Source organism: Homo sapiens, chromosome 12, assembly GCF_000001405.40.
Source record: "Homo sapiens chromosome 12, GRCh38.p14 Primary Assembly".
NCBI lineage: Eukaryota > Metazoa > Chordata > Mammalia > Primates > Hominidae > Homo > Homo sapiens.
Window position 1 is genome coordinate 63568839 of NC_000012.12, and position 12472 is coordinate 63581310.

General features: G+C 36.4%; 1 protein-coding gene across 17 annotated transcripts in view; it reads right to left on the bottom strand.

The window, feature by feature from the left end:
* The window catches only part of DPY19L2 (dpy-19 like 2), a 109893-nt gene that overhangs the window by 9926 nt on the left and 87495 nt on the right, over nucleotides 1-12472 (bottom strand). For 11 of the 17 annotated variants that reach the window (XM_047428722.1, XM_011538215.3, XM_024448947.2 and 8 more), the window contains 3 exons: nucleotides 11824-11998; nucleotides 1920-2019; nucleotides 386-511 (listed from right to left, as the gene is read on the bottom strand). In XM_047428722.1, the coding sequence (XP_047284678.1) occupies nucleotides 386-511; nucleotides 1920-2019; nucleotides 11824-11998 (401 nt within the window). Of the gene's footprint in view, nucleotides 1-385; nucleotides 512-1914; nucleotides 2020-11823; nucleotides 11999-12472 lie in introns of those variants that run through there. The other 6 variants (XM_047428727.1, XM_024448949.2, XM_024448945.2 and 3 more) reach the window with 5 other exon arrangements.

Here is a 12472-nt window from a genome sequence, read left to right on the forward strand (position 1 = left end):
CTTTTCTTTTAAGTCTTACAAATCCAATATAATTCAGCTATAATACAGAATGCCAATATCTCACTTTGTTGTAAATTCAAATCCATATTTCAGATATCTAATAAAAATTTTCATAAATATTTCAAAAATTATGAAAAAAGCTAAGTGGAAGATGTTAAATTGAAAAATCAGGATATTAAATATACTATAATGTTTGGAATTAAATTCTACTTCATTGATAGTATAGTTTTATGTCTCTAGATGAAATAATTTAAACTAAGGTACCAGGATAATATTTTAATAAATTTAAAATAAAAATTCTTAAAGAATCAGGACTACTATAATAAAGTGAAACATTTGTTGCTCAAAAATATACCATATCAGATAGCATAGGGTTAATACTCACTTAGTTCTCACAACACACCATGCCTCTTCTAAAACATAATAATTCACATGTAACTCCAACAATTTATCTCTTACTTCTTTGGCAGATTTTCGACTATATGTAGAATAAACTATTTTTGTCCGAGCCCTTTAAATTTAAACAATAATTTAAAAGATTTTAAAATAAATGATAATAGAATAGACTAAAAAAATCTTACTAGCAAATTGAAATCTCAATACTCACTGGATGGAACACCGATATACATGACTCAAAACAGCATCAATTATTTTGGGGATGGCAGTTTCCACATTCCTACTTATATTTTGAATGTAATAAAACTTACAGCAATTTAATTTTGCATATACTGCTCATTACTGTATAAGATAGTCTAAAGTTGTACTGGGTAGCAGAGAGCAGCTTAGGATATACAATTTTCTTCTCATAATTCACAGTTTTCAGAGAATATATTCTGACAGAGACTGAATGTAGTGAAAAACACATCTTTCAATGCTTAATTTCATCTAAAGAAGCTCTGACAAATACATGAATTGAAATTTAGTGTATCAAGTAGAACACTTAGACAATGGGCATCCAGGGTGTCAGAAGAGGTAGGAAAAGCACCTTCGCAGAATCTTGAGAAATGGGGATGGTCACCAAAATATGGTACAATAGGTGATTTGACTGTAGTGGGAGTTCTTACAAAATCCTAACAAACTATCACTTATGCATTGGATGTTGCTTAGAATTTCAAGCATATGGGATGCTCAGTCACCACAGTGGTTTCCACGCCAGTTCACCGCAGTAGAACAGAGAGAGCATCAGGTACATTTCTAAGGTGTCTGACTCCAAGCCCTGGCTCCTAGACAGCAGACCTAAAACTTTTAAATAATTTAAACATTTGCCTCTAACAATAGGCCAAAAATCCACTTTTAAAAACGATTACCCTGACAACTACTAGAATAACCAAAATAATTTTTTAAACCAGCCATTTAAGGAAAGCAAAACTTTTAGACATCAATGGAAACTAGAGTTCTCATAATCGACTAGTAAAAATACTCTAAATTTTCATGAAAGCACGTAATATATAATAGCAACTTTCATGTACTTTTTCTACCTGTCACAAAAAGCTAGTCATTGGCCACCAGTAAGATCTAGAAATCATTTCTTAAATCAGAGTGGGGCTTGTGGTGTAGAGCAGGGGTTGGCAAACCATGGCTGTGAGTAAAATCCATCCTACCTACTCTTCCAACTACCTAGTAGTTTTACTGGAATACATACACACATCATAAATATGTGACACAGTTGTCACTTTGGGAAAAACTGGCTTTTGCATTTTTCAGTTTTTCAGAGGTCTGCTTGCTCCAGAGGCAACAGGTACGTATTGTCATTTCTGGATGGTTATTGTCATTTTTTTTTAACTTCCAGTATGAAAATGAGGATGAGTTTGTGTGTGTGTGTGTGTGTGTGTGTGTGTGTGTGTGTGTAAAATTTTCCCAATTCCTAAGAATTGGGAGTTGCCAAGTGAGTCTTGAAGAAATACTCATCAGCTGCCAACCTCAAGTCTGCATCTTCGTAATGTGGATGATTCACAATGGGATGAAGTGTAGACAGCTTGATGCTTGCCATTGTAGGCATGGCACCTGCAAAGACAGCATCTGAAAAAAAAAAAAGGATATATTCTTCAATTAAATGTTTTAAAGAAAATCAGAAGTTAAACTTACCTCTAATATGTGAACCCAAATTAAGAAGGATGATGCCTATTTACATGACCATGGACCTCATTCTTTTATTGACTCAATAGTTATTCATTATCTACTACAATAATAGCTGACTTTTGTTAAATACTATCTTGGGGCTAGAAATTGTGCTCCATATTTTAACAAGAAATAACCTAATCTTCACAGTTCTAAGGGGTAGGTCCTCTGTTCTTACTTTGTAGAATCTACAAACTGAGCATGTGAGGGGTCTGGGTTGTGCACTCAGAATCTAATGCCTGATGGTCTGAGGTGGAACAATGTCATCCAGAAACCACCCCCTACCCCCAATTCTGTGGAAAAAATGGTCTTCCACGAAACTAGTCCCTGGTGCCAAAAAGGTTGCAGACTGCTGTTGTAGATGATGAAGAGACACAGCCAAGTTAAGTGACTTGCCCAAGACTGTACAGCTAGGAAGTTCCAGAGCCTGCCCTCTTAGCTGCTTCACTCAAGCTTCCTGCTATGCTAGAGTACCATGCTAACAGCAGGACTACAGACACACATGAAACAAAAAGAATGTAAAATGTCACATCTGTTCCAATAATGTGAAATGCCAGGAGCTGAGAGACTGCTATGAAGGGCAAGTCTCATGGGACATTTTTTCCAATGACTTTTGTGGCTGGTGAACTGTGGTCCTGCGGATGTGCCATAAAAAAGGAAAGCATTGTTTTCTTCCCGCAGATCATCTTTAAGTTCTCAGAGTTACCATTTGACTTGACACCATTTATACATGCCATGAAATCATTTCATTACTTGCTGCTAGTACTTTTTGGAGTAATAACATGTATAAATTTGGTCATAACTAGAGATACATCAAAATCTATCTGGCTTCCATTTCATCTCTTGAAATACCAGAAGACCAAATGCTTACTTCCTGGTACTTTTGTATAAAAAACAATTACAAAATTGTGAAGGTTACTATCATTTTTCATCAGCACCATAAAATCAGTAACAAAGATAAGACATTATTCAGATCTACTATAAAAAACTACATTGGAGAGGAGGTGGAGCATGATGACCAAGTAGAAGCCTCCACTGTTCATCCTCCCCTCAGGAACACCAAATGTGATAATGATCTACACAAAAAGCACTTTCATAAGAACCAAAAATCAGCTTAGGTACCAGCTTGGCCGCAGTGGGGAGCAGCACCAAGCAGGCTCTTGTGGTCCCCGATTCCAGGCCTTGGCTCTTGGGTGGCATTTCTGGACCTGCCCTGGGCTGGAAGAGAGCCCACTGCCCTGAAGGGTGAGTTCCAGGCCTGGCAGCACTCACCACAAGCTGACTGAAAGGTCCTTGGGCCTTAAGTGAATGTCGGCGGTAGCCAGGCACTACCTCCCATGGGCCTGTGGTAGTGGTGGAAATGAGGAGAGACCCCTCTGCCTGGGGAAAGGGGAAGGAAGGGTGGGAAGGACTTTGTCTGGTGGTTTCAGCACCAGCTCAGCTGCAGTAGGATAGAGCATCAGGTAGATTTCTAAGGTGTCTGACTCCAGGCCCTGGCTCCTGGACAGCAGCATCTCTGGATCTGACTATGACCTGGGGGATCTTGCCACCCTGAAGGGAAGGTCACCAGCCTGGTTTGCTTTGCCACCTGCTGACTGTTGAGCCCTACACCTTGAGCAAACATAGGTGGTGGCCAGGCAGTAGTTACAATGAGCTTTGGGTAAGACCCAGTGCTGTGCTAGCTTCAGGTCTGACCCAACACATTCCCAGTAGTGGTGGCCACAGAGATGCTTATATCACACCCCACCCCCAGCTCCAGGCAGCTTAGCACAGAGAAAGAGAGAGAGAGAGACTCCATATGGGAGAGAGTAAGGGAAGAGAACAAGAGCTTCTGCCTGCTAATCCTGAGAATTCTGGATTTTATCCAAGACCACCAAGGTAGTACCTCTAAGAGTCTGCAATAGCTTCAGCATTACTGGGCATGGGGTGCCTCCTAGTGCAGATACAGCTGCAGCGACCAGAAACTTAGATCACAACACCAAAGTCCCTTTGAATACCTGGAAAGCCTTTCCAACAAGGATGGGTACAAACAAGCCCAGACTGCAAAAACTATAATAAATACCTAACTCTTCAATGCCCAGACACCGACAAACATCCACAAGCATCAAAACCATGCAGGAAAACATGACCTCACCAAACAAACTAAATAAGGCACTAGGGGGCCAATCCTGGACAGACAGAGATATGTGGCCTTTCAGACAGAGAATTCAAAATAGCCGTGCTGAGGAAAGTCAACGAAATTCAAGATAACACAGAGAAGGAATTAGTATCTTATCAGATAAAGTTAACAAATAAATTGAAATAATTAAAAAGAAGCAGAAATTCTGGAGCTGAAAAATGCAACTGACATACTGAAGAATGTATCAGTCTTTTAATAGCAGAATTGATCAAGCAGAAGAAAGAATTAGTGAGCTTAAAGACAGGTTGCTTGAAAATACACAGAGGAGGTGAAAAAAGAATAAAGAAGAATGAAGCATACTTTCGAGATCTAGAAGTAGCCTTTAAAGGGAAAAATCTAAGAGTTATTGGCCTTAAAGAGGAGGTAGAGAGAGACAGCAGTAGGAAGTTTATTCAAAAGTGTAACAGAGAACTTCTCAAAGCTAGAGAAAATATCAATATTCAAGCACAAGGTTATAGAACACCAAGCAGATTTAACCCAAAGACTAACTCAAGTCATTTAATATCAAACTCCCAAAGGTCAAGGATAAAGAAAGGATCCTAAAAGCAGCAAGAGAAAAGAAACAAATAACATACAATGGAGATCTAATAGATCTGGCAGCAGACTTTTCAGTGGAAACCTTACAGGCCAGGAGAGCATGCCATGACATATTTAAAGTGAAGGAAAAAACCTTTTACCTGAGAGTAGTGTATCCAGAGAAAATGTCCTTCAAACCTAAAGGAGAAGACTTCCCAGTGAAACAAAAGCTGTGAAATTTCATTCACACCAGACCTACCTATAAGAAATGCTAAAGGGAGATCTTCAATCTGAAAGAAAAGGACATTAATGAGGAAGAAATAATCGGAAGGTACAAAACTCACTGGTAATAGTAAGTACACAGAGAAACACAATATTATAGCAGTGTCATTATGGTATATAAACTACTTATATGATAAGTAGAAAGACGAAAAGATGAACCAATAAAAAATAAATACAACAACTTTTCAAGAGACAGTACAATAAGATATAAATAGAAACAAGAAAAAGGTAAAAAGTGGGGAGATGAAGTTAAAGTTTAGAATTTTTATTAGCTTTCTTTTGGCTTATTTGTTTATGCAATCAGTGTTGTCATCAGTTTAAAATATTGCAAATAATAAGATATTATTTGCAAGCCTCATGGTAACCTCAAGTTTAAAAACATAAAATGGATGTACAAAAAATAAAAAGCAATAAACTAAAACACACCACCAGAGAAAATCACCTTCAATGAAAGAAAAAGAGGAAGGAAGAGAAGACCACAAAACAATGAGAAAACAAATAACGAAATGGCAGGGGCAAGTCCTTAACAATAATAACACTGAAGGTAAATGGGCTGAACTCTCCAATCAAAAGACAAAGAGTAGCTGAATAATAAAACAAAACACTAAGAATCTGTTACCTACAAGAAACACACTTTACTTATAAAGGCAAATATAGACTGAAAACAAAGGGATGGAAAATTATATTCCATGCCGATGGAAACCATAAAAGAGCAGGAATAGCCATACTTACATCAGACACAATAGCTTACAAGACAAAAACTATAAAAAGAGACAAAGAAAGTCATTATATAATGATAAAGGGGTTCATTCAGCAAGAGTATATAACAATTGTAAATATATATACACCCAATACTGGAGCACCCGGATATATAAAGCAAATATTATCAGAGCAAAAGAGAGAGACAGATCCCTATACAATAATAGCCTGAGACTTCAACACCACACTTTCAGCAGTGGACAGGTCATCTAGACAGAAAATCAACAAAGAAACACTGAACTTAATCTGCACTATAGATCAAAAGGACCTAATAGATACTTACAGAACATTTCATCCAACATCTAAGGAATACACATCCTTCTCCTCAGCACATGGATCATTCCTCAAGGATAGACCACAAAACAAGGATAGGCCACAAAACAAGCCTTAAAACATTTTTTAAAAATTGAGACAATATAATGTATCTTCTCTGACCACAATGGAAAAAAAAACTAGAAATCAGTAGCAAAAGGAATTTTGGAAACTCTACAAACATACAAATTAAAGAATATGCTCCTGAATGACTGGTAGGTTAATAAAGAAATCAAGAAGGAAATTGAAAATGTTCTTGAAACAAACGATAATGAAAACACAACACATCAAAACCTATGGGATACAGCAAAAGCAGTATTAAGAGGGAAGTCTATAGCTGTAAGTGCCCACATCAAAAAAGAAGAAAAACCTCAAATTAACAACTCAATGATGCTTCTTAAAAAACTAGAAAAGGGCAAACAAAACCCAAAGTTAGTAAGAGAAATAAAATAATAAAGATCAGAGCAGAAATAAATGAAATTGCAATGAAGAAAACAGTATAAAAGATCAACTGGTTTTCTGAAAAGATAAAATTAACAAACCTTTAGCCGGACTAAGAAAAAAAGACAGAAGGCCCAAATAAATAAAATCAGAGGTAATAAAAGGAGACATTATAACCAATATTGCAGAAATTAAAGGATCATCAGAGACTACCATGAGCAACTGTATGCCAATAAATCGGAAAACATAGAAATGGATAAATCCCTAGATACATAAAACCTACCAAGATTGAACTATATAGAAATCCAAAACCTGAACAGACCAATCACAGGTAATGAGATCAAATCTCTAATCAAAAGTCTCTCAGCAAAGAAAAGCCCAGGACCTGATGGCTTCACTGCTGAATTTTATCAAACATTTAAAGAAGAACTAATATCAATCCTACTCTAACGATTCCAGGAAATAGAGGAAGAGGGAATACTTCCAAACCCATTGTATGAGACCAATATCACTTTAATACCAAAACCATACAAAGAACCATCAAAAAAAGAAAACTACGGGCCAAAATCTCTGATTAATGTTAATGCAAAAATCCTCAACAAAATACTAGCAAACTGAATTCAATAACACATTAAAAAGATTATTCATCATGACCAAATAGGATTTATCTCAGGGATGCAAAGATAGTTCAACGTAGCAAATCAATGTGATACGTCATATCAACACAATGAAGGGGAAAAATCATATGATCATCTCATCTCCATAGATGCGGGAAAATCATTTGGTAAAATTCAACATACCTTCATGATAAAAACCTTCAAATAAACTGGGTATAGAAGGAACATTAATCAACATAAAGAAGCTATATACAGCAAATGCACAAGCAGTATCATACTGAGTGAGAAAACACTGAAAGCCTTTCTTCTAAGACCTGGGACATGACAAGGATGCTCACTTTTTACCACATTATTCAACATAGTACTGGAAATCCTAAATAGAGCAATCAGACAAGAGAAAGAAAGAAAGGGCATCCAAATTTGAAAGGAAGAGGCCAAATTATCATTGTTTGCAGATGATATGATCTTATATTTAGAAAAACCTAAAGTCTCCACCAAAAAAAAAACTATTAGAACTGATAAATTCAGTAATGTTGTAGGATACAAAATCATACAAAAATCATTAACGTTTCTATATGCCAACAGAGAACAACCTGAGAAAGAAAATTTAAAAAGTAATTCCATTTACAGTAGCCACACATAAAATTAAATACCTAGAAATTAACCAAAGAAATGAAAGATCTCTAGAATGAAAGCTATACAAAACTGGAGAAAGAAATTGAAGAAGATACAAAAAATGGAAAGCTATTCCATGTTCAAGCATTGGAAGAATCAATACTGTTAAAATGTCCATACTATTCAAAGCAATCTACAGATTCAATGCAATCCCCATCAAACTACTAATGATATTCCTCACAGAGATAGAAAAAACTATCCTTATTTATTCGAAAACACAAAAGACCTAGAATAGCCAAAGCTACCCTGAGCAAGAAGAACAAAACTGAAGGAATCACAATACCTGACTTCAAATTATATTACAGAAGTATAGTAACCAAAACATCATGGTACTGCCATAAAAACAGACACACAGACCAGTGGAACAGAATGGAGAACCCAGAAAGAAATCCATACATCTACAGTAAACTCATTTTTTACAGCAGTCCCAAAAACATACACTGGGGAAAGGGCAATCTCTTCAATAAATGGTGTTGGGAAAACTGAATATCCATATGCAGAAGAATGAATCTACACCCCTATCTCTTGCCATATACAAAACTCAAATCCAAATGGATTAAAGCCTTAAATCTAAGACCTCAAACTCTGAAATTACTACAAGAAAACTTTGGGGAAACTCTCCAGGACTTTGGTTTGGAAAAAGATTTCTTGAGTAAATACCTGGGAAGCACAGGCAACCAAAGCAAAAATGAACAAATGGGTTCACATCAAGTGTAAAAGCTTCTGCACAGCAAAGGAAACAATCAGCAAAGTGAAGAGACAACCCAAAGAATAAGCAAAAATATTTGCAAACTACCAATCTGACAAGGAATTAATAACCAGAATATATAAGGAGCTCAAACAACAAATCTAAAAATCTACTTTAAAAATGGTCAAAAGATCTGAATAGACATTTCTCGAAAGAAAACATACAAGTGGCAAACAGGTACATGAAAAGGTGCTCAACATCACTGATCATCAGAGAAATGCAAATCAAAACTACAGTGAAATAGCATCTCACTCCAGTTAAAATGGCTATTATTCAAAAGACAGGCAATAACAAATGGCTGTTATCCAAAAGACAGGAAACGATGTGGAGAAAAGGGAACTCTCATACACTTTTGGTGAAAATGTAAATTAGCACAACCACTATGTAGAAGAGTTTGGAGGTTCCTCAAAAAACTAAAAATAGAGTTACAAAATGATCCAGCAATCCTACTCTTAGATATATACCCCAAAGAAAGGAAATAAATATTTAGAAGAGGTATCTGCACTCCCATGTTTATTGCAGCACTTCTCACAATAGTCTAGATTTGGAAGCAACCTAAGTGTCCATCAACAGGTGAATGGATAAAGAAAATGTGGTATGTAGACACAACGCAGTGCTATTCAGCCATAAAAACGAATGAGAACCTGTCATAAAAAAAGAATGAGATCCTATCCATAACATGGATGGAACTGGAGGTCATTACATTAATTGAAATAAGCCAGGTACAGAAAGACAAACTTTGCAGGTTCTTACTTGTGGGAGCTAAAAATTAAAAGAGTTGAACTCATGGAGATCAAGAATAGAATGATGGTTACCAGAGGCTGGGAAGGATAGTGAGGGGGTGGAGGGGAAGTGAGGATGGTTAATGTGCACAAACAAAATAGAATGGATAAGATGTAGTGTTTGGTAACACAGAAGGGTGACTATAGTCAACAAAATTTTACTGCACATTTAAAAATAACTGAGAGAGTATAACTGGATTGTTTGTAACACGAAGGATCAATGCTTCAGGTGATGGATACTCCATTTACCCTGATGTGATGATTACACATTGTATGCCTGTATCAAAATATCCCATCTACCCCATAAATATATACACCTGCTCTGTACCCACATAAATTAAAAACTTTAAGAACCCTGAGTGTTTACCTTCCAGTATAACTAAGCATTCTAAGTGCAACTTTGAATGAAAATTTCTTTATATGCCTCAAATTTGAAAATATGTAAGCTAGTCAAAGAATGTGTATTTATTATTGGAGACTCAATAATTTATGATGACAAGCTGTTAAGCTAGAGAAGTGGTTCTCAGGCAGGCATGATTTTGCTCCCTAGGGAGCACTATCAACTTCTGGAGACACTTTTCGATGTCATGCTATGGGGAGGAGGGAGGAGATGCTGTTGGCATCTTGTAGATAGAGGCCAAGGATTTCTTGTAATACATAGGACAGCCTCAATGTCAACTGTGCTAAGGTTGGGAAATGCTGAGCAAGAAGAATTGAAAGCCCAGGGCCAGGGTCTTCCAAAAAAAACTAGGCACACCTGTCCAGCAAGAGCTGGACCCACTGAGTTGTCATCTATGGCAGACGGAGAGGAAGAAATACCCTCCCACTCCACTTTCTGTCTCTTTGGCTGTGAAGTAAATGAGCATTAACAAGGAAAAATCAGATATTTTCCTATCACTGTATGGAAGTCTCCATTTAGCCTACTATACAGATTAGAAAAAGGTATTCCCCTGACCTGACAGAGCCCCATTATACATGGCTTGATGAGTGGACCACAAGCTGGATTTAAGCTTTCACTTATCCTCTCAATTGGTCACCTTTGTGCAGTGCACAAACTATACAACCGTATATGGCAGACCTCAATATAAGCACTAGTTCCACTAATACTACAAAACTTCATACAGCTTTTAATATGTGGTAACCATGAGATAACTCATAATAAGGGTAGTTAAAAGGAGAATAAGACAGATTAAAAAGAAGATCAAAGAAGAGGCATCTAAAAGTGAGACAGGGGTTTGTGGCAGTTATCTTAGAAGGATAAGTTGCCAAATGTAGGCTCTCTGTCAGGAACCCAATACAAACACTGGAACAAAGAAAGACACAAGAAAAGATTAAAAGGGCAGCTATTTTTAAAAGCTTGGGAAAAATAGCTATAACTGGGGAGGGGCAAGGGAGAGTAAAGAAAGGGAGTGATTACCTTGAGCTCCTATGTGGAAAAAGTCAGTTGGGGATTACTTTTAAAATTCTAATTAAACTGGCTTGGCAGTTTAACGAGGCACTGTCACCTACACCCTTTGAAAGCTATAGACCAAGTATCTTACTTAAAGCTTATAAAGATTTACCTTAATGAAGGTTAATTAGCAAAAAAGTGGCTATCAAATAAGAAATAAAAGGAAACAAGCTCAGGAGTCATAAGAAAATTTAAATAAATCATAGTGAAGAACTTGTACCAGAGTAAGTTTCTAAATATTAAAAATAATCTTTGATTTACAAATTTAGTTACAGAAAATGTTATAGACTTATTCTCTGGAAAGGTATTTAAAAATATCTATCTGCTTGAGGTAGTTCTGAATAAAAACAGGAAGAAAAGAAGGTAAGCTAAAAAGAAAATTTTGGAGTATTTAAAAGTAGGATGTATACTATCTCTGTGAGATGATTTAGTGAAGAAAATAGAATATCCAAGATTTTCTCTTCTGCCAATGACCTGTTTTACAGAATTAGAGGAGACAGCACTGATTGCAGTGACAGAAGCGGTGCTGGTTAACTCCCCACCATCAAAAGTATCTTCTGCTGTAGCCTGGCACAAGGTGTGAAATTTCATTTTTAAAGACTTACTTCTTTGATTTGTCATTGTTATGGTTAAAATGCTATAATGCTGTCTGAGAGTTAAAGGACATAACTTATGAAAAATCATTAATTTCCTGGTGCTAATTTAAATTCTTTGATAATTATCTGGGAGGGGCTTAAAGGGGGTGCAAAATTGCCTTTTGGAAGGGTTTAATTGATTGACATTGCAATAGTCTGCTCAAAGTCTGTGAGAGTATGAATGCCTATTTGTAAATCTGTCATACACACATACACACATATATCAGAAATGACAATAATTATATATAGTATACACAAATGTGTCTGTATGTTTGTATAAAACTAGCATATAACCAAATACCTACACACCTGATGTGGTACTGTATTTGATCCACTGTAAAAGTTCTTCCTGAGGCAAATTATTAAATTCTCCTATTATGCTCCATTGATTACGGAGGTTTGCATAACCTTGTATTGACATCACTGTTAAAATGCCAAAGATAACCTTCTCAAAACGAACTCTGCGAAAAAGCCAGCCAAAGAGCTGAAACGAAAGAAACCGTTTATTTCTAGTTCTTATATGAAGAGTACCGTAGGGTCAACAATAAATTCTCACCTTGTTACTCAAACCAATGTGAATTACCCTTTGATATCAGCACACATGTATACAGAATTATCATCTCCGATTGTTTCTAAAGCAACGAATATATTGGCATTACAGGGCCCAGGTGAAAATGGAACTTTCTCTCCCCTGGGAAGAATTAAGGAAGATATACCTGATCCTTCTAGTACTAATTTACTACTAAGGATTAAAATAAACAAATCACAACTGTGAAACATCTTAGAACTAAATCCTTGCATCCTTGGCTGCCTTTTGTGGACATGGTTAGTAGACAGGGAAGCCCTATTAGCATGATATATATAGATTCTTCTCAGGAAAACAGGCATTATGATATTTTAAGGCTATACACTCATAATAAAAACGAAGTAAGGTGTTTGTAGAAGTACCTTAGGCCCA